The sequence below is a fragment of the Homo sapiens genome, chromosome 10 (assembly GCF_000001405.40).
Source record: "Homo sapiens chromosome 10, GRCh38.p14 Primary Assembly".
Classification (NCBI taxonomy): Eukaryota; Metazoa; Chordata; class Mammalia; order Primates; family Hominidae; genus Homo; species Homo sapiens.
In genome coordinates, this window is record NC_000010.11 from 91,889,789 (window position 1) to 91,915,198 (window position 25,410).

Here is a 25,410-nt window from a genome sequence, read left to right on the forward strand (position 1 = left end):
GGCACCAGGGACCGGTTTTGTGGAAGACAATGAAACTAACTGTCCCATCTCAGATCATCAAGCACTAGTTAATTTCTCATAAGGAGCACTCAGCCTAGATCCCTCGCATGCACAGTTCACAATAGTTCTCATTCCTATGAGAATCTAAGCCTCCGCTGCTCTGACAGGAGGTGGAGCTCAGGCGGTAATGCCCACTCGCTGGCCACTCACCTCCTGCTGTGCGGCCCAGTTCCTAACAGGCCAAGCTCAACCCGGAGGTTGGGGATCCCTGCTCAGTACGACATACTACCTTTGAGACTTTTAGCTTCTCCAGAGCCCTCCCTTTATTTAATACGTGAAGAGCCTGTAAAATTGGGAGGTATTTCCATACATCAGATTACTTTACTGTGCCACTATTTTCATAAGTCGTTTGGTAGAAAGTGGTGACACTCATGTGCCTATATTAAGCACGAGGCCAATATTTTCACTAAATGTCATTTAGGAAACCCATATCAGCTACTACCTCACTGAGGCATAGAACACCACTGGTGACACTCTAGGGAGTCAGAAAATATTAAATCATCCCCCAAGCCAGTAGTTCTCAGATGTCTAGAATTCCAAGACTAATAAAACCTTCTAAGACATTTTGGGGAAAGACATAAGGTTGCCACTTTGATACTTTGCCAAGTGAAGACATTAAACTTTTCAAACTACCATCTATAATACTAGCATCATCATTTTATTAAAAAAAAAAAAGGATATTTTAAACCCACCTGCCTCCACCCCTGCAAAAAAAAAAAAAAAGGACATAATCACAGAATAAAGAATAATCCTTAATCTGATCAATTCAGTGCTACCAAAATTCACTATATTGTCCTTGTTTTTCTCATTTTGTGGTAGACAGGTCTAAGCATCATCATGAACTGACTTTGGGTCTGCCCATAGAGGCTGGCACCATCATCTTACAAAGAAGGTGATGATTCATCAGGCACATCTTTATGTTAGCCAGAGTTACCGTGATGGAGTCTGCAGGCAAAGATGGAAGGGATTAGGCCCCTCTGTCTAACAAAAGCATGGAAAGTGGCTCCTCCTCATTAAGGCAGAAGCTCTGATGCATGTGGAAGGCTATGAATTTGGGACTGGTAGAAAGGCATTCTGGCTGAGCAGAAACAACGGATTAACAGAGACTAAAGGACTGAAGTATTTGGTGGAGGATGTTCAAGGTCTATGGCCTGATGATGAGACAGCTATGCTGTATTGGAAAGACCTTGGTTCAAGTTTCAGCTCTGTTTTGTGTCCTTGGAGAAGTCACTGAATGTCTCCGAACCTCTTTTCTCATTCACAAAATGCCATCAGATGAGGTAGATAAGAAGAGGATGTACAAAAAATGCTTTGTAAATTAAAAAAAATGATAAGAATTATTATTGTTGAGTTGTTTTGTTTTTTTGTTTTTTCAAGACAGCATCTGGCTCTGTCACCTAGGCTGATGTTCAGTGGCATGATCATAGTTCACTTCAGCCTTTAACTCTTAGGCTCAAGTGATCCTGCCAAGTAGCTATGACTACAGGCACATGTCACTACACTTGGCTAATTTTTAAAATTTTTTTTATTTCTTTAGAGACAGGATCTTCCTATGTTGCCCAAGCTGGTCTTGAACTCCTGGCCTCAAGTGATCCTCCACTCCTTGGCCTCCCAAAGTGCAGGGATTACAGGTGTGAGTCACCATGCCTGGCTGTTTCTTCCTTGTTTGTTTTGTTCTGTTTTGTTTGTTTTGTTCTGTTTTGTTTTGTTTTGCTTTTATGATAAAGACTTTAAAACAAGTATATGTGTTACAATTCTGGAGGCACAAGGATTTCATTTTGGAGCACTATTTAGATTTCATACAAGTTGGAAAACAAAGCAGTGGCCTTTGGAGATTTCATTCTTAGGCATGTGGGTAGAATACAGCTCCTCTCTGTTTTAAGTCAGTGCCAGTTCCAGGCTTCCTGGCCCTATCTAAGGGGTTGGTGCCTGGGAAAAGGCTGCAGTAAAGGTCAGAGGTGACCTTGCACAAGGGTAATGAGTCAGTGTGTGTGCATCCTTCATGCTCATGACAGTAGCACAAGCTTTTAAGAGGAGCAGTACTACCCTTATGGCCAGATGAGAAGGGCCACTGCCTAAGCCTGCTCTGGAGAGGGTCCTGCATATCACAAACACATTTACAAAAAAAATATTAAAGAGCACAAAAGTTCGTCCATCATTTGGGAGGGCTTGGGTCTGCCAGTACAACACGACCTGGCCATACTGTTTAGTCCCCAGGGAAATTCTTCTCCATATTTCTTGTCCAATGTTCTCAAAACAAAAGGGACTGCAGGTGACTGCTCCCGATGTTGGCAACTGAATTACTCCAGAGCATGATGAACTTGGTCGGCAGAAATCCTTGGGAATGAGAAAGGGTAAACTTGTCATGTCCTTCCTCTCTGATACTAGGAATGCAGTAGATTCTTGCATTACGACTTTTATTATTTTTTTATTTTTTGAGATGGAGTCTCATTCTGTGGCCCAGGCTGGAGTGCAGTGGTGCCATCTTGGCTGACTGCAACCTCTGCCTCCAGGATTCAAGTGATTCTCCTGCCTCAGCCTCCCAAGTAGCTGGGATTACAGGTGCGTGCCCCCATGCCTGGCTAATTTATATATATATATGTGTGTATATATATATATATATATATACATACACACACACACATATATATATACACACACATATATACATATATATACACATATATACATATATACGTATATATGTATGTAATATATATACATATATGTACGTATAATATATACATATATACATGTACATATAATATATACATATATACATGTATATATAATATATACATATATCTACGTATATATATATATTTTTTTTTGAGACAGAGTCTCCCTCTCTCGCCCAGGCTGGAGTGCAGTGGCATGATCTCGGCTCACTGCAAGCTCCGCCTCCCGGGTTCACGCCGTTCTCCTGCCTCAGCCTCCCGAGTAGCTGGGATTACAGGCACCCACCACCACGCCCGGCTAATTTTGTTTTTGTATTTTTAGTAGAGACGGGATTTCACCATGTTAGCCAGGATGGTCTCGATCTCCTGACCTCGTGATCTGCCGGCCTCAGCCTCCCAAAATGCTGGGATTACAGGTGTGAGCCACTGCACCCGGCCAATTTTTATATTTTTAGTAGAGACGAGGTTTCACCGTGTTGGCCAAGCTGGTCTTGAACTCCAGACCTCAAGTGATCCACCTGCCTCGGCCTCCCAAAGTGCTGGGATTACAGGTGTGAACCATCGCACCCAGCTTGGCAGAAAGTTTAATATTTCATTTTCCATCAAAATTCCTTCAGATGGAGAAACTAGACATTTTTATATGCTAAGCACAAAGCCAAAGTTCTGCAGCTACTCTCATGTTTCACAACTATCTTCATGATTAGCTTTGGCCAGTGAAGAGACTTGTGAAAGGACACATTTAGGTTCTCTATTAAAGGAAAATGACTATCACTTGTGCATAAAAGGATCACATGAATCACTGGAACTGCAAAAAAAAAAAAAAAAAAAAGCTGAATAAACAGCAATTGACAGTATTCCACAATAACAACTAAAAGCCAATATAAAAAACATTGATATAATATTCCTAAAATAATAATAAATGTTCAATACTTAGCCAAACACAATGGCACTTTTCATGGTATTAACAGCACAATATTTACAGAAATAATGGGAAATTTCTAGATTTAGTAAAAATGGTTTCAAAAGCTAAAACTAGAACAGCCAAACATGGAAGATAGTTAAGAAATAATAAAAGATTACCATGTGGATGAAGAAGTCAAAATGAAACTATTAATTTAATGGACAATAAAGTAGGAGAAAAAAACATATAATTTTATTTATTTTTGTTTAACTTTTATTTTAGGTTTGCCGGTACATGTGCAGGTTCGTTATATAGGTAAACTTGTGTCATAAGGGCTTGTTGTGTGGATTATTTAGTCACCCAGGTGCTAAGCCTAGTACCCAATAGTTCTGCTCCCCTTCCTCCTCCCACTCTCCACCCTCAAAAAGGCCTCAGTTTCTGTTGTTCCCCTATTTGTGTTCATGTGTTCTCATCGCTCAGCTCCCATTTATAAGTGAGAACATGTAGTTTTGCTTTTCTGTTCCTTGTGGGCGAAAGATTACCTAGGTGCCGAGGCAAAAGACTGAAGGCACAAACTGTTTCAGTATAATAAAGAAAATAGTTAGAATAAAAATAGTCATAATACAAATTAGATATAGAGATGATCATGGATAATTATCAATCATTATTATAAGCATTATTAATCATTAGTTCTTAATATTACTCTTTGTTGTATTACTAATATAACCTAGGAATAACCGGCGGGTGTAGGGTCAGGTGCTGAAGGGACATCGTGAGAAGTGACCTAGAAGGCAAGAGGTTAGCCCTCTGTCACACCCGCATAAGGGCCGCTTGAAGGCTCCTTGGTCAAGTGGTAATGCCAGTGTCTGGGAAGACACCCATTACTTAGGCGACCGCGAAAGGGAGTCTCGTTTCCTTGGAGGAGTCAGGGAACATTCTGCTCCACCCGCTTCTTGTGGAAGGCTGAATATTATCCAGGCCTGCCCGCAGTCATCCGGAGGCCTAAACCCCTCCCTGTGGTGCTGTGCTTCAATGCGCACGCTCCTGGTCCACTTTCATGTTCCTCCTGTACTCCCGGTTCCTCTTTGAAGTTCGTAGTAGATGGCGGTCGAAGAAATAGTGAAAGTCTTAAAGTCTTTGATCTTTCTTATAAGTGCATAGAAGAAAATGCTGACGTATGCTGCCTTCTCTCTCTCCTTCAGCTACATAAAAGGGAAAGCACCCCTGTCCTATGATCATGTGACTTGCTTCACCTTCTCAATCACTTATAAGATTAGTCCTCCTTACGCTGCCCCCTTTGTCTTATATACAATAAATATCAGCGCGCCCAGCCGTTCGGGGCCACTACCGGTCTCCACATCTTGGTGGTAGTGGTCCCCGGGGCCCAGCTGTTTTCTCTTTATCTCTTTGTCTTATGTCTTTATTTATTACAATCTCTCGTCTCTGCACACGGGGAGAACACCTGCTGAGCCCCATAGAGCTGGACGCTACAGTTCCTGCGTTAGTTCACTAGAATAATGGCCTCCAGCTCCATCCATGTCCCTGAAAAAGACATGATCTCATTCTTTTTATGGCTGTATAGTATTCCATGGTGTATATGTACCACATTTTCTTTGTTTAATCTGTCATTGATGGGCATTTAGGTTGAAAATCATACATATAATTTTAGAAAGTGATAGTTCAACTAGTTTGTAACAAGAACAAAAGGCATGTTGAACAACTAACACTTATTCTTTGTATGTTGAACTGGCAGAAGAAAACAAGAAAATCAAAATTGGTGTTTCATTAGTTTCATGCCTATGGTAAAAAGTACAGGTTTTAACTCAAAACCTGTTGCCTAAAGAATTGAAAAAAGAAGCAAACCTTTTAGTTGTAGGCACTGATTTAGAACATTGCTGAGGGCAGGCTTATAATGGTGCTAACACCTTTGGTAAAGAGAAAAATGTACATCCAGACTTTTGGCCAAAAATCCAGAAGCATTCTTTGTGCTCTACACTAGCACTGTCCAACAGAAATATAATGCAAGCCACACATGTAATTTTAAATTTTCTTTTCTTTTTTTTTTTGAAACAGGATCTCATTGGAGTACAGTGGCTTGATCATGGCTCACTGCAACCTCAACCTACCTGGATTAGGTGATCCTCCCACCTTGGCCTCTCAAGTAGCTGAGGCTACAGGCATGAACGGCCATGCCCAGCTAATTTTTGTATTTTTTGTAGAGATAGGATTTTATCATGTTGGCCAGGCTGGTCTCAAACTCCTGGGCTCAAGCAATCCACCCATCTTGCCTCCTAAAGTGCTAGGATTACAGGCATGGGTCACCGCACCCAACCTTAAATTTTCAAGTAGTTACACTAAAAACACATAAACAGGTGAGATTAACAATTTATTTTATTAAATCTAATATATCTAAAATATTACCACTTCAACATGCAATCAATATTTTTAAATTTTTGGCGGCACGTAGTGGCTCACGCCTGTAATCCCAGCACTTTGGGAGGCCGAGGTGGACAGATCACTTGAGGTCAGGAGTTTGAGACTAGCCTGACCATCACGGTGAAACCTCATCTCTACTAAAAATACAAAAGTTAGCTGGGCGTGGTGGATCGTGCCTATAATCCCAGTTACTCGGGAGGCTAGAGGCAGGAGAATCGCTTGAAGCTGGGAGGCAGAGGTTGCAGTGAGCTGAGATTGCACCATTGCACGACAGCCTGGGCAACAGAGTGAGACTCCATCTTAAGAGAGATATATATATACACATATATACACACACATATATATAAGAGCATACATATATATACATATATTTTAATATTTTTTATTTAATGAGATAGTTTACATTCCTCTTTTGAAACCTAGTGTGTATTTTATGTTTGCAGCACATCTCGTTTCATACTATCCACATTTCCAATGCTCAATACCTCATGTGTCTAGTGGCTGCCCTATTGGACAGCACAGTGCATAGTTTGAATTTATTTCAGGAGACATGGCCTCAGCTGTGTCAATAGCCATGCAATTCTTTGGAATAATTCAAAGGTTGCATGCAATATTTTCTGGATCTGGCTGGGGATGTCACATCTTGATGAAATATGTATCAAAACTGACCTTACAGCCACTTTCATGCACACAACATTAGTGCCTTTTAAATGCTGCTAAAGCACCCCTTCCGCCTTGTGAAGTTACAATGAGAAGAGAGCCATCTATAAGGATGCAGGCCCTCACGAGACACTGAATCTGCCAGTGCCTTGATCTTGGACTTCCCAGCCACCAGAACTGTTGAACAAATCCTGGCAGAATTTAAGTTCAGAGCTGTGGAATGCCACCCCAACAAGCATCTGAAAATTCCAAAGCAATGGAGACTGTTCAGAAACCGCAGAAGGCAAAGGAGATTCTGACCAATGAAGAGAGTTGTGCCCACTATCATCACCGGTGAAGGAGCCAGATATTGATGCCAGTCCTGCAGTGGGAAGCTGATACGATTTGGCTCTGTGTTCTCATCCAAATCTCATCTTGAACTGTACTCCTCTAATTCCCACTTGTTGTGGGAGGGACCTGGTGAGAGATAATTTGAATCATGGAGGCAGTTTCCCCTATTGTTCTTGTGGTAGCGAATAAGTCTCACGAGATCTGATGGGTTTATCAGGGGTTTCCGCTTTTGGATCTTCCTCATTTTCTCTTGCTGCTGCCATGTAAGAAGTGCCTTTTGCCTCCCGCCATGATTCTGAGGCCTCGGCAGCCATATGGAACTGTAAGTCCAATTAAACCTCTTTTTCTTCCCAGTCTCTGGTATGTCTTTATCAGCAGCATGAAAACAGACTAATACAGAAGCTTGCAGTGAGCAGAGATTGTGCCACTGCACTCCAGCCTGGGCGACAGAGCAAGATTCCATTTCAAAAAAAAAAAAAGAAAAGAAAAAAAAAGAAGAAGGAGGAGGAGGAGGAGGAGAAAGGAGAGTAAATAGCTGCCTCTAAATGCTGATAACTATTTTTATCCTGTAAAATAGCCAAGGAATACCTACCCATCGTTAAGCATCAACTTTGACATCTCACCCTTGTGGGGATTCCACACTGGCAGTGTTTCTTTCATCTCTCTCTGCACATCTTAAAATCAAGGCACAAGGGCCTTATCCCTGTCTTGATTCGGAGGATAATCTTTCTCATTGTAATCATTGTGCACGGGAACAAAGAACATACGGATCAAAGGTTTGGGGTCTTCAGCCCTACCACGATCACATGACCACCCAGCTCAAAGGCAGCAACTATCAACTGAAGTGTTGTTTCCAAGCTTCCGGTCTTTTACAGAGAGTCCCCGTGGCTACCTAGAAAGAGCCCCCCAAGGCCATTTACGTTGTTTTTCACTGTATTGTCAATGTTTCTTTGGGAGAGTCTGTACTTAGCCATTTTATGTTGTACGCCTTAATGAAAGCATTCTTTTTTTCCTCTCTGTCTCTGAAACATACAACTTTGCATCCCTCCAGCCCCCCAATTTACCTAGGTTTTCCATTGGAACGTTAGAGTCAGGTTGCCTAGTTCTCACACTCTCAAAATCCTATTGCTATTGTTTTATTGTAACCATATTTAATTGTATACATTCATCCAGAGGGAATTGACACTTATTTAAACACTAAGGTTTCTTATCTAATAATCATAATAAATCCATGTTTTCATTTATTTGAATCTTTTTTTCTGCTCTCAGAAGTATTTCTGTGTTCTTCATATACCTCATGCATATTTCTTGTTGAGTGATTCAGTATATTTTACCTTGTGTGGCTATTATTAATGATATATTTCATTATATTTTAAACTACTTGTCTGTATATGACAACCGCTCAGTAATTTTAATATGGCCAAAGTAGGCATCTTGCTTTAAAAGGGAGAGGAGGACTGTGGCCTGCTTTCATGGCTGCTTTTAAATTTTGTAATGGGGAAAAGTTTGAATGTGGTGAACCAGAGGTCACAAGAGGGACAAAACTCGGGGTAAGTTCACCAAAGCCCTGCAGCTGTAAGCATTACAGCTTCTTTAGCCAGGAACGAAAGAAAATTGTTCTTTGAAGTTATAAGAAAGCCATGGACCTGGGAGGTCAGCTGTGGTCCCCTCGCCTGCGAGACCACATATGAACTCCTGGACAGATGCAGTCTCATCTCCTTTCAAGTCCTACACATGGAAGGAGGTCTTACAAGCCCACATGCTTCCACATTAGGGATAGGAGTACTGTGTATAGCTCTCATCATCAGACAATTCTCTCTTCTGTAACTACAGATTTCTTGCTTCTTTTTTTTTTTTTTTTTTTCACCCAGGCTGGAGTGCAGTGGCGTGATCTTGGCTCACTGCAAGCTCCACCTCCCGAGTTCATGTCATTCTCCCACCTCATCCTCCCACGTAGCTGGGAGTACAGGTGTCCGCCACCACGCCAGGCTAATTTTTTATATTTTTAGTAGAGATGGGGTTTCACCGTGTTAGCCAGGATGGTCTTGATCTCCTGACCTCATGATCTGCCCGCCTCGGTCTCCCAAAGTGCTGGGATTACAGGCTTGAGCCACCGCACCCAGCTGCTTCTTTCTTTTTATGCTGCCCCCAGCTGAGATGGAGAGTTGCTGATCACCATTTTGCATATGTGCTCTTTAAGACTGAAAATTACCTTTAGATGTCTTTATTGGTATACTAAAGGAAATTGGAGCCCTAACGATGTATTTATTACATGCTTACAACATGCCAGACATTGAGCTTTACATGAGCATCTCTTTTAATCCTCTCAACAACTCTACGTTACAGATAAGAAAACTGAGGCTCAAAAAGATGAAATGAATTGTCCAAGGTCACAGAGCTGGGTAGTGGTAATACCAAGATTTGAACTCAGGCATGTTGGTCTCCATCACGCATACTCTTAGTAGAATTTGCCTATAATCATTTTTATGATAATGGGAGGAAAAAACACCCAAATAATGCCCCAGCCAAACCAAAGCTTTAGTCTGTTTTTAATAATTTGTGGTAGCTATGGGGAGTGCGCTGGGGAGTACACTGCTCAAATCTCCCTTTGAGCGAGTGCCTCTGTGAGGAGTGTAGCTAGCTGACCATGTCCGGCAGCAGCAACTTCAGAATCCACCACAGTATTCTCACCAAGAGCATAGTCTCTTTGGGACACTCCCAGCCAATGACTGTGCTCATGGGAGATCTAGAACCAGGTCATTCCTGTCCAATGAGGCCTGTCCAATGTGAGCCTCCTCCAATGAGCAGTCTCTGTTCTGGGTGTCCCCACTAGCACAGCTGAGATTTTCTGAGCTGCACAGAGCTAAGTTTCTTCCTACCCTATCCTCCTTCCTCCTACTTGCCCTGCACCTGACTCAGGTTCTCTCCCTCTTCCCTTTCCCCCCTACATTCATTTCCCCCTGTACCTCCTGCCAGCTGATTCCTAGAGGGCCCACTGCGATATACCTTTCCTCAAAGACATTACATCTTTGTGGCTTTCCTATGAATACTCTTCAGAGTTTCTATATTTCTCTTTGCCCTAGAATGGGACATAATGCTATAGTCTGACCAGAAATGAGCAGCAGTGATACTGGTCCAGTGTCATATTCATGCTATGGGCCATGGGCACACCCTCTGGTCCAGTCCTCAACAGATCAGCCAAACCTGTACATACTCAGTTGTAAAGTATTCATTTGTCATCTGAGTTGCACTGTTAATATTCTTCACTTATTACTCCTGTTCCCTTCCCTGGACAGGACACAAAGAACAGGGTCTCATATGTCTATATTTCTGTCAATCCTGAATAACCAACATTACTTTTATTAATGTATTTTATTGAGCCTGAGACTCTATCAGTTATAATACATGCCATTTTTAATGTAGCACTAAGAAGTAAAAAGATATTGGCCGAGTGTGGTGGCTCACACCTGTAATCCCAGCACTTTGGGAGGCCAAGGCAGGCAGATCACTTGAGGTCAGGAGTTTAAGACCAGCCTGGCCAACATGGCAAAATCCCATCTCTCCTAAAAATACAAAAATTAACCGAGCATGGTGGCGTATGCCTGAAGTCCCAGCTACTTGGGAGGCTAAGGCACAAGAATCGCTTGAACCCGGGAGGCCGAGGTTGCAGTGAGTCGAGATTGCGCCATTGCACTCCAGCCTGGGTGAGCAAGTGAGACTCTGTATCAAAACAAAAAACAAAGATACTACCAATTAAACGATGACATGCCATTGATTATAAGATGACCTCAGATGTAAATGTGAGGGAGAAAACATGTGCCGAATAGTCTTTGTTCCTACAGATGCACTCTCCACCCTTCTCCATCTACCCTGCTCTGGGCCCAGAAGGTTGACCACTAAGCACTGTAGCACCCAGATGCCCTTGTCTCTGGCTTCTAATCAGGTTCAGTCCATGGAAAGGGGAAACAGAAGGTCGGAGGGTAGCTGGAGAGAGAGCTTAAGGTATTTATTCTCTTGGGTCCCTCCCTATAGACCAAGGTTTTGACAATGGTTACATTTTAGGTACCTAAGACTATAGTTCCTGTTGAGAGACCCTTTCCCCCACAGTTCTGAGTTTGATCTCTCTCTCTTTCTCTGGGTTCTGGAAGCCACTCCTGCCCTTCCCGCTTTGGGTCCAGGGCTGATAATATCATCTCCCTATTACAGTCCGAGGTGTCCCACTGTGACTTATTAGCCCCTGAATTAGTTTCCTAGGGCTGCCTTAACAAAGTACCACAATCCACATGGCTTAAACCAAGGGAAATTTATCCTCTCACAGTTCTGGAGGTTAGAAGCCTGGAATCAAGCTGCCAGCAAGGCCATGCTCTCTCTGCATGAAGACTAGGGAAGACTCCTTCCTAAGACTATTCTGGTCCTGGTGGTTGCTGGCAATTTGTGGCATTAATCAGCTTGTAGATACATAATTGCAGTATCTGCCTCCTTCTTCACGTGGCCTTCCCCCTCTGTGTCTTTTCTCTTCTTATAAGGACTCCAGTCAAAAATGGATTTGGGGCTTACCCTGCTTTAGTATGACCTGATCTTAATTAATTACAAAGACCCTATTTCAATATAAGGTCACATTTTGGGGTTCTGAGAAGGATGTGGATCTTTGGAGGCCTATTCACCCCAGTACAGTCCCTTATTCTATACTCTTGTAAATAGTTTCTTCATTAAACTCCAGTTACCCCCTTCTGAGTGTGCAGTATGGGGACACTGATGATACAAAGTATACCTTAGAATCAATAAATACAGTATTTTTGACTAACAGGAACTGCACTAGAATCTTATATTAGTTAAGGTAAATGATAATCTCAGAATACAGGGGCTTAAATAAGAAATACAGTTGAATCTCACTATTTGCAGTAGTGATGTTCTGTAAAGTCAGTGTGAACACTGACTTAGCAAATACAGAACCACTGCTCCTGGGGAATATAGAAGATTAGGTTCCTATGAGCCTTTGGTCACAACATTTTTCATCAACCATTCAATCACAATTTGTTTTATGGGTTTTTCTGTTTAAGGACACCTTACTTAATATATACTGTTGACTCGTTAACGTTGAACACTGTGACTCATGCCTGTGACTCATGCCTGAAGGAAGTTTAGCAACACATGTATTTTCTCTTTAAAGCACATCACAGTTTCCTGTGCTTAGGAACACAAGATAACACTTTAGCACTGTGTTTGGGGGCCATTTTAAACTGAGAAATTACTAACAAAGAGCACAAAAGTGCAAAAAATGTGGCTCTAAATAAACCATGATAAAGAGACTTATTTACAGTATTAGAACTGAAGCAAAAAGGCAGAGTGATGCCTTCTTTGACCTCAGCTGGGAACAAGCATGTTGGATGACAAATTTTTCACCACTCTCTGCAGGTGTGTATCCACCAATGATTGCAAAGGCACAATGAGTATTGCTTTTGGAGTTACCAATAAATTTTAGCAAGTAGGGAAAATCACAAATACAGAATCCACAAATAATGAGTATTTATTGTACATTTTGTTTTTCTCTCATATAAAGGTCTAGCCTATGCAGAGTGGTGAGGCAGTTTTCCACCAGGTTGTTCAGGAACTCAGATTCCTTCCATCTTGTTACACTGTCATCCTCTAGGGTAATGTATTCCTCTGCATGGTTAAAGTTGAATTGCAAGAGCATCTAAGTCCCACCTCTTAGAGAGGAGAAAGGAAAGTTCAAGGCAAGCAATATCTTTTAAAGCACATTGAAATTGAAGTTGCATTTGGAAAAAATTTGGTCATTTTTATCACACCTCTCTGCAAGAAAGGCTAGAAAATGTATCTGGCTAGGTGGCATGCACTCAGGGAAAAAAAGGTGAGACTAGATTTGGGGTGAATAACTGGCAGTTTACCACCAAGAGCCGTGAAGAAACTCTCATCCTGAAACGCCTGCAATGCTGTATCGTAGAAAGCCTGGGGAGAGCTGGCTTCTGTTCTAGCTCTGCCACTACCTTCTCTAATATGTGCATTTAATGCTCTATATTTATCTCTAAGTAATGCTTTAGCTACAATAGACAAATTTTGATATGTCCTATGTTCCTTTAGTGCAAAAGTGTTTTTTTTTCCTTTTTTTTTTCTTTTTGAGACGGAGTCTTGCTCTTTCACCCAGGCTGGAGCACAGTGGCGTGATCTCGGCTCACTGCAAGCTCCGCCTCCCAGGTTCATGCCATTCTCCTGCCTCAGCCTCCTGAGAAACTGGGACTACAGGCGCCCGCCACCAAGCCTGGCTAATTTTTTGTATTGTTAGTAGAGATGGGGTTTCACCGTGTTAGCCAGGATGGTCTCGATCTCCTGACCTCGTGATCCGCCAGCCTCGGCCTCCCAAAGTGCTGGGATTACAGGCGTGAGCCACCGCGCCTGGCAAAAGTTTTTTTTTTTTTTTTTCTTAAATTTTTTGTAGATACAGGGTTTTGCCGTGTTGTCTAGGCTGGTCTCGAATTCCCGGGCTCAAGCGATCTGCCCGCCCTGGCCTTCCAAAGTGCTGGAATTACAGACATGAGCCACCGTGCCAGGCCAACATTTTATATTCTTTTTTTTTTTTTTTTTTTTGAAACGGAGTTTCACTCTTGTCGCCCAGGCTGGAGTGCAGTGGCACTATCTCAGCTCACTGCAACCTCCACCTCCCCAGTTCAAGTGATTCTCCTGCCTCAGCCTCCTGAGTAGCTGGGACTACAAGCCCCCATCACCACGCCCAGCTAATTTTTATATTTTTGGTAGAGACGGGATTTCACCACTTGGCCAGGCTGGTCTCAAACTCCTGAGCTCAGGTGATCTGCCCGTCTCGGCCTCCCAAAGTGGTGGGATTACAGGCGTGAGCCATGAGCCACCGTGCCCGGCCACTTTTTTTGTTGTTGTTGTTGCAGTCTCGCTCTGTTGCCCAGGCTGGAATGCAATGGCGTGATCTTGGCTCACCACAACCTCTGCCTCCCAGGTTCAAGTGATTCTCCTGCCTCAGCCTCCCGAGTAGCTGGGATTACAGGCATACACCACCATGCCCAGCTAATTTTGTATTTTTGGTAAAGTTGGGGTTTCTCCATGTTGGTCACGCTGGTTTAGAACTTCTGACCTCAGGTGATTCGCCTGCCTCAGCCTCCCAAAGTGCTGGGATTACAGGCGAATTTTTATATTTTAAGTACAGACAGGGTTTCACCTTGTTGGCCAGGCTGGTCTCAAACTCTTGTCCTCAAGAGATCCGCCTGCCTCAGCTTCCCAAAGGCTGGGATTACAGGTGTGAGCCACCGCACCCGGCCCGACATTTTATATTCTATTTTCTTTTCTTTTCTTTTTTTTTTTTTTTTGAGACGAAGTCTCCTCTGTTGCCCAGGCTGGAGTGTAGTGGTGCCATCTTGGTTCACTGCAACCTCCGCCTCCCCAGTTCAAGCTATTCTCCTGGCTCAGCCTCCTGAGTAGCTGGGATTACGGGCACGTGCCACCATGCCTGGCTAATTTTTGTATTTTTAGTAGAGATGGGGTTTCACCATGTTGGTCAGGCTGGTCTCGAACTCCTGACCTCATGATCTGCCCGCCTTGGCCTCCCAAAGTGCTGAGAGTACAGGCACGAGCCAGTGCACCCGGCCTGTATTCTATTTTCTTTTGTCCTTTTTTTTTTTTTTTTAATGCACTAAATGGATTTCATGACCTCATTGGCTGGGCATCTCATTGTGAAAACACTATAGTATTTCAAAGAAAAGTGGCATCTCATAGAAAACAATGAAATCCTACCTAAAAAAGAGAATCTTAAAACTTCTAGGCAGAAGAATAATTTTTCAGTGCAAAATATTTTCTGATTTCCCTTATGACTTCCTCTCTGACCCATGGGTTATCTAGAAGTATGTTGATTTCTAAATATTTGGAAAACTTCCAAATCTCTTTCTTTCATTGATTCCTAACTTAAATCCTTTATGGTCAGAGAACATACTTTGTATTATTTAAATTATTTTAAATATGTTGCAATTCATTTTATGGTCCAGAATATGGCCTATATTGGTGAATGTCCCGTGCATATTTGAAAATGTGTAGTCTGCTGTTCTGCTGTTATAGGATACAGTATTCCAGAAAGGTCAATTAGGTCAAGTTTGTTGATAGTATTGTTCAGGTCTTTTATATTCTTACCGATTTTCTATCTTCTTTTTCTATTTATTACTGAAAGAGAAACGTTGAAGTCTCCACATAAAATAGCGAATTTATCTATTCCTCCTTTCGATTCTATTGGTTTTTGCTTCATGTATTTTGTTGCACTGTTAGGTACACTCACATTTAGGATTGTTGTCTTTTTTGTGAGTTGATCCTTCTCTCGTTATATAATGTCCCTCTTTATCCTTTTCCTTTGTTTTGGAGTTTACGTTGTTGGATGTAGCCACTTGTGGTAAGCAGAATAATGCTCCCACTTCCCCCCCGCCGCCCCCACTTCTCCCACCCCTGCCCCGTGTTGACATCTTAATCCCCAGAACCTGTGAATATATTGGGATAAATTGCATTAGATTTCAATGGGAAATTAAGGTTACAGATAGAATTAAGTCGGCTAACCAACTGATCTTGAGATTGAAAAATTATCCTGGATTATTTGAATGGGCCCCGTGTATTTGTAAGCGTCTTTTTAAGTAAAAAAAAGAGCGAGGCAAGAAAGAGGGAGTCAGAGAAGGAGATGTGATGATAAAAGCAGAGGTTGGAGCCGGGCGCGGTGGCTGACGCCTGTAATCCCAGCACTTTGGGAGGCCAAGGCGGGCGGATCACGAGGTCAGGAGATCGAGACCATCCTGGCTAACATGGTGAAACCTTGTCTCTACTAAAAAAAAAAAAAATACAAAAAATTAGCCGGGCGTGGTGGCGGGTGCCTGTAGTCCCAGCTACTCGGGAGGCTGAAACAGGAGAATGGCATGAACCCGGGAGGTGGAGCTTGCAGTGAGCCGAGATCGCGCCACTGTACTCCAGCCTGGGCGACTGAGCAAAACTCCGTCTCAAAAAAAAAAAAAAAAAAACAGAGGTTGGAATGAGATGATAGTTGGCTTCGAAGATGGAAGAAAACCAAGGGCCAAGGAATGTGGACAGCTCTAGAAGCTGGAAAGGGCAAGGAAATTGATTCTTCCCTAGAGCCTCCATTGTTCATTTCTACTCAGGTTGGCCTGACTCCCTGCTGCTTCTAGCTTGACCTTTTCTGGGACTCTTGTTTTGGCCTTGAACCTTGTCCTGTTGAATAGCAAGATTGGAACTTACCCAGGGTTTTCTTTCAATCAGCAGAATGTGGAAAACTAAGATACATCTTTCAGATGATAGTGTACCCACCATGCTTACAAGCAATTCACAGGCCCTGCGCATAATCAAAGAAAGGGGAATACACAGAGGTGAGAATACCAGGAGGTAGGGATCATGTAAGTAACTATATTATATACTTATAGTCTGCCACCATATGTAACTTGTAGAGTTGAGAATAATAAAGTAATGATTTACTCTTATTTGAAGAATTAGAATTTAACTGATTATGAACAAATTTTGTGTTGAGATCATAGGTGTTTAGGGTGCAAGGACTATGAAGTTGTTGTTTTAATATAGTATGCAATGGTATGCTTCAAATGGAGGACCAAAATATTCAGAATAAAGCGATCTCACCTTGTTAAGGGAATGACCATGAGGATTTAACTTCAAGTTCCCAAATAAGTGGTTGCAACACACACACACATATATACACACACACACATTTATATATATAATGGAAAAACATATATATAGTTGCCCCTCCACATCCGTGGGCTCTGCATCCACAGATTCAACAATGGATGGGAGGAAGGTGGGGAGGAAGGGAAAAAGAAAGAGAACCAGGGTGCAAATCAAATAGAACAATGATAAGGCCAGGTGGCTGCCAGTTTGTGACTCTTGCTTTATGTCAACTTCTTAGTTTCTGTCTTTTCCCAGCAATTCAAGATGTGTTTAAGAACTTAATTCAAGGTGTACTTGGAAGTAGATCAAATGCAGGTAGAATTTCCATTGCCTTGCCACTTCTTTAAATCTAACCATACAGTTTTTATTGAGCACCTAACATACACACACAGTCTCTCATTACATCACACTAAAAATGAAATATATTAATAATTAGTTACATGAAACAGAGAGATACAACTTCCATAATGGTCAAAATGACTCTGAGATACATACTTACATTTTAGCTGTTTAAAAAAAAAAATCAGATATAAAGAGAATCACTGTTTACTGGAGCACTCAACATCTATAATTCCTTCTAAATGCAGAAGGTTAATGGGAAAGTTCCAGAACATTAGTCACCATTTCGTTAAAAAGTAGCACTTCTAGTGGCACACCCCTGTAGTCCTGGCTACTCCGGAGGCTGAGGCAGAGGATCACTTGAGACTGGAATGTCGAGGCCGCAGTGAGCCATAATTGCACCACTGCTCCAGTCTGGATGACACAAGACCCTGTCTCAAAAATAAAAATAAAGTAGCACTTCTAAGCCAAGTGCAGCTGTGCATGCTTGTAGTCCCAGCTACTCCTACTCCTAGCTATTCTGGAGGCTAAGATGTGAGGATCCCTTGAGGCCAGGAGTTGGAGACTGCAGTGCCTATTATTACACCTGTGACTAGCCACCGCACTCCAGCCTGGGCAAGCCAGACCCTGTCAGGGAAAAAAAAAAAAAAAGGTAGCTCTTCTAAAAGAATGGAAAGGAAATCATTCTGCAAAACTTTCCTTGGAGCCAGTTTTGACCTGTGAGGCTTCTGTCCCTATAGAGGTTATCTATGACACCCACCACGCCGCATCCAAGTTTATACCAATTCAGAAACGGAAAAAAAGTCTGCAGTCTTGTTAGCTGATTAAGTGAGAAGACATTGATTCAACCTGGCTCAGGTTGGCAATTGCTCATGGCTGCATTTAATAGAAATGTTAAACAATAAACATTGCATCCCCCTCCCCACATGGGACTCACATCACTTTAGTCACTCTATCTCCCCCTTATTCTCAGCCTCCCTCTGCATCGATTTCTCTCCCCAGTCTCCAGTTTTTGCACATTTAAAGTACGCCTATTTCTGTTTCCATTATTTTTCCTGCTCTTAATCAGGACTGAGACTTTTCAAAATTTTTAACTTCTCTGCTATCCCAGAGATTCTCCATACCCCTTACACTCTCATCCCAAGCATCTCACCCTTACCCTTGCCCCCACCCCCATTCGAGAACCTGGACTTCTCCCCAATCTCTATCACAGTACCCCCCGGTCTAAGACGCCCTTAGCTTTCCCTTCCCCACGCCTCCCCCATCAACCCTCCCTAAGCCGGCAGGCAGTCTCAGCCGTTCCAGAAATTGACAAAGAAGTTGCAGAGGGAGTGCCACTTCTCAGCGCAGTAGGTCTCCGTGAGCTCCGCGTTCCCGTCCAGCCCGTCGGGGTCGGGCCCGGTCCCCATGGGTCGCTCCTCGTTGGGGACCAAGGCCGCCTTCCTCTTGCCCTCGTTGGTCTTCCTCTCTGAGGGGTTTTCTTTGGGCGGTGCGCTTTGGGGAGGCGGGGTCCCAGCGGCTGGGCCGGACGCACGCTCCCGGGTCCGCCCCCGGTTCCGGGCCCGGGGCTTGGACTCCCCCGCGAATCCCGCGACGGTGGGGCGTGCGGGCGGGGACGCGCGGGGCACTAGCCGCAGCTCGGCGCCGTGGCCCTTCTTGCCCGCGCACAAGCGGGCCTGGAGCGGCGCGGGGTCGTGACAGGGCCTCCGCTTCTTGCGCAGCCCTCCCAGCACCTGCTTCCAGAAGTGCGCGCGGCGAGCGGCGTAGGCTGCGCAGCGCTCCGGATGCCCGCGGTAGGCGCACTGGTGGCGCGCCCCGTCCGGGCTCTGGCAGCGCAGCGCCAGCTCGCTGCCCGCTGCGGCCTCCGGGGCGGGCAGCAGGAGCTGCCAGCTGCACGCGTGCTGCTCGGGGCTGAGGAAGCGACCCGAGGAGCCGCCAGTGGGCCCGGGGACCGGCTCCGCCACGTTGCTAGCCGCCCCTTTCTCCCTCCGAGCAGCCGCGAGGAGGCAACCACTCAGCAGCAGCAGCAGCGACGGCGACAGCGACGCTCGCAGCTTCGGAGGAGTCATGCTCCGCGGTTTCCGCGCTCCGCTGTTCTCAGACCACGTTTGTCGGGGCTGGACCAGGCAAAGAGCATTCCCCAGGACCTGCGGACAGAGGCAGAGACTGCCACCAACTGAGCCACACGCAGCGCTTCGCCCAGACACATGCACCTGCGAACTACTCTTCCGCAGACTTTCTAGAATCTGCAGCCTGCGAGGAGACCCTCTGAGGAGCTTTCCTGGGGAAACTGCTTACTGTCTAAATAATCACTTTCGAACCATGTATGCATTGAGATTTTCTTCCCCTTGCAAATACGATAGCAAAACGATGCGTGATAATTGCCCCCTCTACCCCTTCCTTCATTTTCTCCCTTCTCCAACCTGCAATAAACTATCTACAAAATCATTTCAGATGATTCCTTGGAAACATGCACTTTACTACACTTTGAACTTACCGAGTTCTGGGAGAGGCGCCAAAGCCTTATTAGGGTAGAGGGAACGACTGCACGGGGGAGTAGTCTGTTTTAGCCGGCTCCCTGTGAATGAACGTGGTATCAATGGAACAGAAGAGGCCTACCCTTCTTCGCCCCTCCCCGATTTCTCTCACACTGGGAGACTTATCACCGCCGCGCTTCTCTCTCTCTCTCCCTCTCTCTCTCTGTCTCTCCAGATGGATGATGGAAGCGGTCCTGTAGTATGAAATACAAATCTTGTATTTTGCTTCCAATGTTTAAAATAATCAGGCAAAATTAACCAAGTTTTTCTTCTTTCATGTACTTAACCATCCAAAAAATAAAAATTAAACAAAAGATCTAAGTTTTAAAAGTTAAATAAAATGAAACAAAACAAACTTCAGTATTCTAAACTAGGCATTTTTTACACAATTATATCATTTACATTCTATTTCTCATATTCTGAGTTCTACATTTTTACCTATTATTTCCAATAGCCTTTCTTAAGACTCTCAATCTTAATAATTGTTACTACTAATAAAAATATAATATCCTAGTTTATTAACATACAATAGTGCCCAGCAGTTCACCCAGGAGTGGACATTTGGGCTTTTTATTATTTTTAGGTATTAGAAATCAGTTATAAGGGTCCTCCAAAAATTAGAAGTTTAAAAAAATTATTTGTATTATAGTAGTTGAACGGTAAGATTACCAATTGAAATGGTATAATAGTTAAGAATGTGAGACCAGCCTGGCCTGGTGAAATCCCGTCTCTACTAAAAATACAAAAATTAGCCAGGCGTGGTGGCAGATGCCTGTAATCCCAGCTACTCAGGAGGCTGAGGCAGGAGAATCACTTGAACCCGGGACAGGGCGAGACTGCCTCTCAAAAAAAAAAAAAAAGAGAGAGAGAATGAATGTGTTCTTGAATCTTGAAAATGTTACATTTAAGCAAAGCTGCTTTTTCTGGAGGGGGGGATTGTGTGTGTGTGCGGGGGTTTGTTTGTTTGTTTGTTTGTTTGTTTGTTTTGAGACGGGAGCTCACTCTGTCACCCAGGCTGGAGCGCAGTGGTGCTATCTCGGCTCACTGCAACCTCTGCCTTCCCGGTTCAAGCGATTCACCTGCCTCAGCCTCCCCAGTAGCTGGAATTACAGGTGCCTGCCACAACACCCAGCTAATTTTTAGTGGAGAAGGGGTTTCACCATGTTGCCCAGTCTGGTATCGAACTCCTGACCTGAGATGAGCCACCTGCCTCAGCCTCTCAAAGTGCTGACCAAGCAAAGCTGTTTTTTCTTTCTTTTTTTTTTTTTTTGCTCTTTTTAAAATTTTTATTTAGAAGCCTACTTGTAGAAGTTAGCATAATTTTACAGATTATTAGAAAAATTCAATTATTTTCTCTCTGCAAACAGTTATAATAGGTTAGGAATAATAGATTAGAAATGTACTACATTGCAAAAACAGTGGCCTATAACTATCTGTACATTTACTGTGCACCTTAAGGAAAAGAATTTGACAGTGTGCTATACTTACACTGCAGGTAACATATTTTTATTCTATCACACAAAACTGACCAGTGGTAGTGCTTGAATTTATAAATGGCCATTAAACAGAATATTTAAACTGAGATGTATATTTAGCATGCTAAAAAGTGAAAAAAATTTCAACTGAAGTTCTGTGGCTCATCAGTTCAAATGTTTCATGGCATTTTTTTCTTTAAACGAAAAATTTTGATATTGTAAAACAAATAATTTTACATAATAAATGCAAAAGTATAAAATTTTCTAAATTTTTAGAAAGAATATTTCCATTCATTTTGTCATGGGTTTTGTGTGGCTCCTCTTAATATATTAATGATATTAATAAGACACTGGTCCTATACCACTTTCAGAGTCCATCTTCAATTAAAAACTGTAACAAAAATAAACAGTATGTAGAGTAACACAAAGTAAATTAAATATACTAAACTCACACAACAGGTAGAATAAAATGAAACCAAATTACATAATGGCAGGTTATACATTTTAAAGACTCTCTTTCCACTTAGTCAAATAAGAAAGACATTGAAATGTTAACTTACTGATTTCTGTGGGGTTTTCCCCACTGGTTCAAATGCGAAAGTTTGATATAAATCTAATATTTTATTTCTGTACATTTAACATGATTCAGTATAATCTGCAGTCTCATGTATAGCTTGTCAATAATGCCATCATCACTGTATGTCAAACAAAAAACCTCACTGCTTACTAGAAATGCTAAACACTGGAAAAAATGGAATTTTATACATTTGTTTTCTTAAATTTTGACAGATGTTCTTCAAAAAATTAAAACTGCCTTCCACAAAATTTTGTGTGTATATGGCACAAGTTGACAGCCAAAAAGTGTGAATTCCATCAAAAAGGCACTGTTAACAATACTCAGAATAATCTGACAAGGTCTACATCAATGTCTGAGTAAAGAATAGGTAAATAGACAAACCCTTATAAAAGACAGCATTATTGTTTAAATATACTATAGCTATATAAAAAGAAATAAAGTGACACACAGAAATGACCCTTAGCAAAGCTGTTTTAAAACTTCAGAATATTCCATCATCTTTTAAAAATGTTCTCATTAATAAATGTGATTTTTTTTAATTGCAGAAGTTTATACCTCTGACTGTAATTTTTTTACACAAGTAAATATTTTACTTAAATACTTCCTCAAGATATCAGGAATTCTTATTATATTTCCTAATGTCCTCTTGCATATAGCATTTTCTATTACTGAACTCCTGTTAGTATTATATTTGAACAATTATAGTTTGGTTACTACTATAAAAACCAAAATACTTTAGAATTAGAAGAATATGTTTAAATATATAGTAGTATATATTAAATATATAGCAATGTATATTGACTTCAGAAAGGAAGTTTTTAACACTCTGGTAAAATCAGAGAAACTAGATAACTTGTCCAGGTTCACACATCATTTAGTGATAAAACCACTTACATCTTTCAGTGATCAGTGATCTTTATGTTTTGTCTTTGTATTTTACTATTAGTTATGTTTTAATTATACCAATTCAGGCTGGGCATGGTGGCTCACATCTGTAATCCCAGCACTTTGGGAAGCCAAGGCGGGTGGATCACCTGAGGTCAGGAGTTCGAGACCAGCCTGGCCAACATGGCAAAACCCCATCTCTACTAAAAATACAAAAAGTAGCTGGGCATGGTAGTGCACGCCTGTAATCCCAGCTACTCGGGAGGCTGAGGCAGGAGAATCACTTGAATCCGGGAGGCAGAGATTGCAGTGAGCCGAGGTCACACCACTGCACTCCAGCCTGGGCAACAGAGCAAGACTCTTTCTCAAAAAAACAAAAAACATAAAAATAAAAAAAAAAATTACACCAATTCAACTTATAATGAAAACCAATTTGTACCTATGAAGATTAGAAACATTAACAAGTTTCAAAAATAAGAGTAGCTAATTAATACATTTCACACTTGGAAGCCCTTTCTTTCCCAGAAAACTGTCTTTGTATATGTGAAGCATGGATGAGTAATCCCAGGCTTTTGTCTGTTGCCTTGGCATTACTTTTTGTTAACAACTACTGAACCGAATTGGTACCATTTTTAATGAAAGAATGACATCTTGTGGCATAATGCTCTAATTGCAATAAAAAAATTTATTATCTGAAAGCTGTAATTAAGAGATACTCCAGAGACCATGCTTCGCTGTCACAAACACTGTTCCCAGAGTAAAAAGTAAGGGCACATAGACATATTATGCAATATCAGAAAAGGGGAGTTATTTTTTAAAAAACTGTGGCATAATATGCATAACATAAAATTTGTTGTTTTAACTATTTTTAGGTGTACTCTTCAGTGACATTAAAAAGATTCACACTGTTCTGCAACCATTATAGCTATCCATCTCCAGAACTTTCTTTCGTCCTCCAAAACTGAAACTCTGTACCCATTCCTCCCTTCCCCCAGCCCCTGGCAACCATCATTCTACTTTCTGTCTCTGTGAATTTGACCACTCTAGATATCTTATGGTAAGTGTAATCCTACAGTATTTGTCCTTTGTGATTGGCTTATTTCACTTAACACAATGTCTTCAAGGTTTATCTGTGTTATAGCATGTATCTGAATTTATTTCATTTTTAAGTCTGAATAATATTCCATTGTATGTATATACCACATTTTGTTTACCCATTTAGGTTGTTTCCATACCTTGGCTATTGTAAATAATGCTGCAATTAACATGAAAGTGCAGATATCTTTATGAGGTGATCATTTCATTTTCTTTGGATATATGCCCAGAAGAGGAATTGCTGGGTCACATAGTAGTTGATTTTTAATTTCTTTACAAATCTCCATACTGTTTTCCATAATGGCTGTACCAATCTACATTCTCACCAAGAGTGTACAACCTTTTCCCCACATCCTTGCCAACATTTATCTTTTGACTTTTTGGTAATAGCCATCCTAACGGGTGTGAGGTAGTATCTCATAGTGGTTTTGATTTACAATTCCCTGATGATTAATGGTGTTGAGCACCCTTTCATATACCTGTTGGTGATTTTCATGTTTTCTTTGGAAAAATGTGTATTCAGGTCTTTTTGCCCATTTTTAAATCAGGTTATTTGTTTTTCTACCATTGAGTTGTATGAGTGCTTTATAAATTTTGGACAGTAACCCCTTATTTGATATATGGTTCACAGATATTTTTTCCCAATCTGTAGCTGCCACTTATTTGTTGATTGTTTCCTTGGCTGTGCAGAAGCTTTTTAGTTTCATGTAGTACCATTTATTTATTGTCGCTTTTGTGGCTTGAGCTTTTGGTGTGATGTCCAAAACTCATTGCCAAGGTCCATATCCAGGGGATTTTCCCCTATGTTCTCTTCTGGGAGTTTGATAGTTCCTGGTCTTACAATTAGGTTCTTTATCCATTTTGAGTTGATGTTTTTGTATAGTGTAAGATAATGATCAAATTTCATTCTTTTGCATACGGAAATCCAGTTTTCCCAGCACTATTGAGACTACCCTTATCCCATTGTGTCTCTTATCAAAAATTAGTTGACCATATATGTTTGAATTTATTTCTTCTCTATTCTGTTCCATTGTTCTATGTGTCCGTTTTTATGCCAGTACCATTACTGTTTTGATTACTAAAGCTTTATAATATAATTTTTTTTGAGACAGGGTCTCGCTCTGTTGCCCAGGCTGGAAGGCAGTGGCATGATCATGGCTCACTGCAGCCTCAAACTCTAGGCTCAAGCAATCCTCCCACATCAGCCTCCTGAGTAGCTGGGACTACAGACATGTGCCACCAGACCTGGATAATTTTTTCTACTTTTCATAGAGACACAGTGTCACTATGTTGCCCAGGCTTGTCTCAAATTCCTGGGCTAAAGCAATCCTCCTGCCTCAGCCTCCAAAAGTGCTGGGATTATAGGCTTCAATATAATTTAAAATCAGGAAGTGTAATGCCTCCAACTTTGTTTTACTTTCTCAGAATTGTTTTGGTAATTCATGGTCTTTTATGTTTCCATACAAATTTTAGGATTGCTTTTTCCATTTCTGTGAAGAATGGCACTGGGATTTTTGTAGGGATTGTGTTGAATCTGCATACTGCTTTGGGTAGTATGGATATTTTAACAATATTAATGTTTCTAATACATGAGCATGGGGTAGCTTTCCATTTATTTGTGTCTTCTTCAATTTCTTTCATGAATGTTTTACAGTTTTCAGTGTAATTTTTACACCTCAGTCAGTTAAATTTATTCATAAGTATTTGATTTTATTTTACTTTTTCATCC

General features: G+C 41.8%; 1 protein-coding gene and 1 long non-coding RNA gene across 2 annotated transcripts, besides 3 other annotated features; one reads left to right on the forward strand and one right to left on the reverse strand.

Annotated features, from left to right (window-relative positions):
* Positions 1 to 16,795: 16,795 nt before the first annotated feature.
* On the reverse strand, positions 16,796 to 19,698 carry FGFBP3 (fibroblast growth factor binding protein 3). The gene is made up of 2 exons (NM_152429.5): positions 19,610 to 19,698; positions 16,796 to 19,259 (listed from the first exon to the last, which is right to left on the reverse strand). The coding sequence occupies exon 2, from the start codon at positions 19,179 to 19,181 to the stop codon at positions 18,405 to 18,407; it is 777 nt and encodes a 258-aa protein (NP_689642.3). The 5' UTR covers positions 19,182 to 19,259; positions 19,610 to 19,698; the 3' UTR covers positions 16,796 to 18,404.
* Positions 18,341 to 19,560, forward strand: FGFBP3-AS1 (FGFBP3 antisense RNA 1). Its single transcript, NR_199602.1, has 2 exons — positions 18,341 to 18,461; positions 19,109 to 19,560. It is a non-coding gene; the product is annotated as an FGFBP3 antisense RNA 1 (long non-coding RNA).
* Positions 18,571 to 19,140: a silencer, noted in NCBI's record as "silent region_2610". NCBI's record gives its function as "represses an Ori minimal core promoter by ATAC-STARR-seq in GM12878 lymphoblastoid cells {active_cell/tissue: GM12878}" and the evidence as "EXISTENCE:reporter gene assay evidence [ECO:0000049][PMID:35858748]".
* Positions 18,571 to 19,338: a biological region, named in NCBI's record as "Sharpr-MPRA regulatory region 9903".
* Positions 19,044 to 19,338: an enhancer, noted in NCBI's record as "tiled region #9903; HepG2 Activating DNase matched - State 1:Tss, and K562 Activating DNase unmatched - State 1:Tss". NCBI's record gives its function as "activates a minimal TATA promoter and a strong SV40 promoter by Sharpr-MPRA in HepG2 cells, with weaker activation in K562 cells {active_cell/tissue: HepG2 | K562}" and the evidence as "EXISTENCE:reporter gene assay evidence [ECO:0000049][PMID:27701403]".
* Positions 19,699 to 25,410: the final 5,712 nt, after the last annotated feature.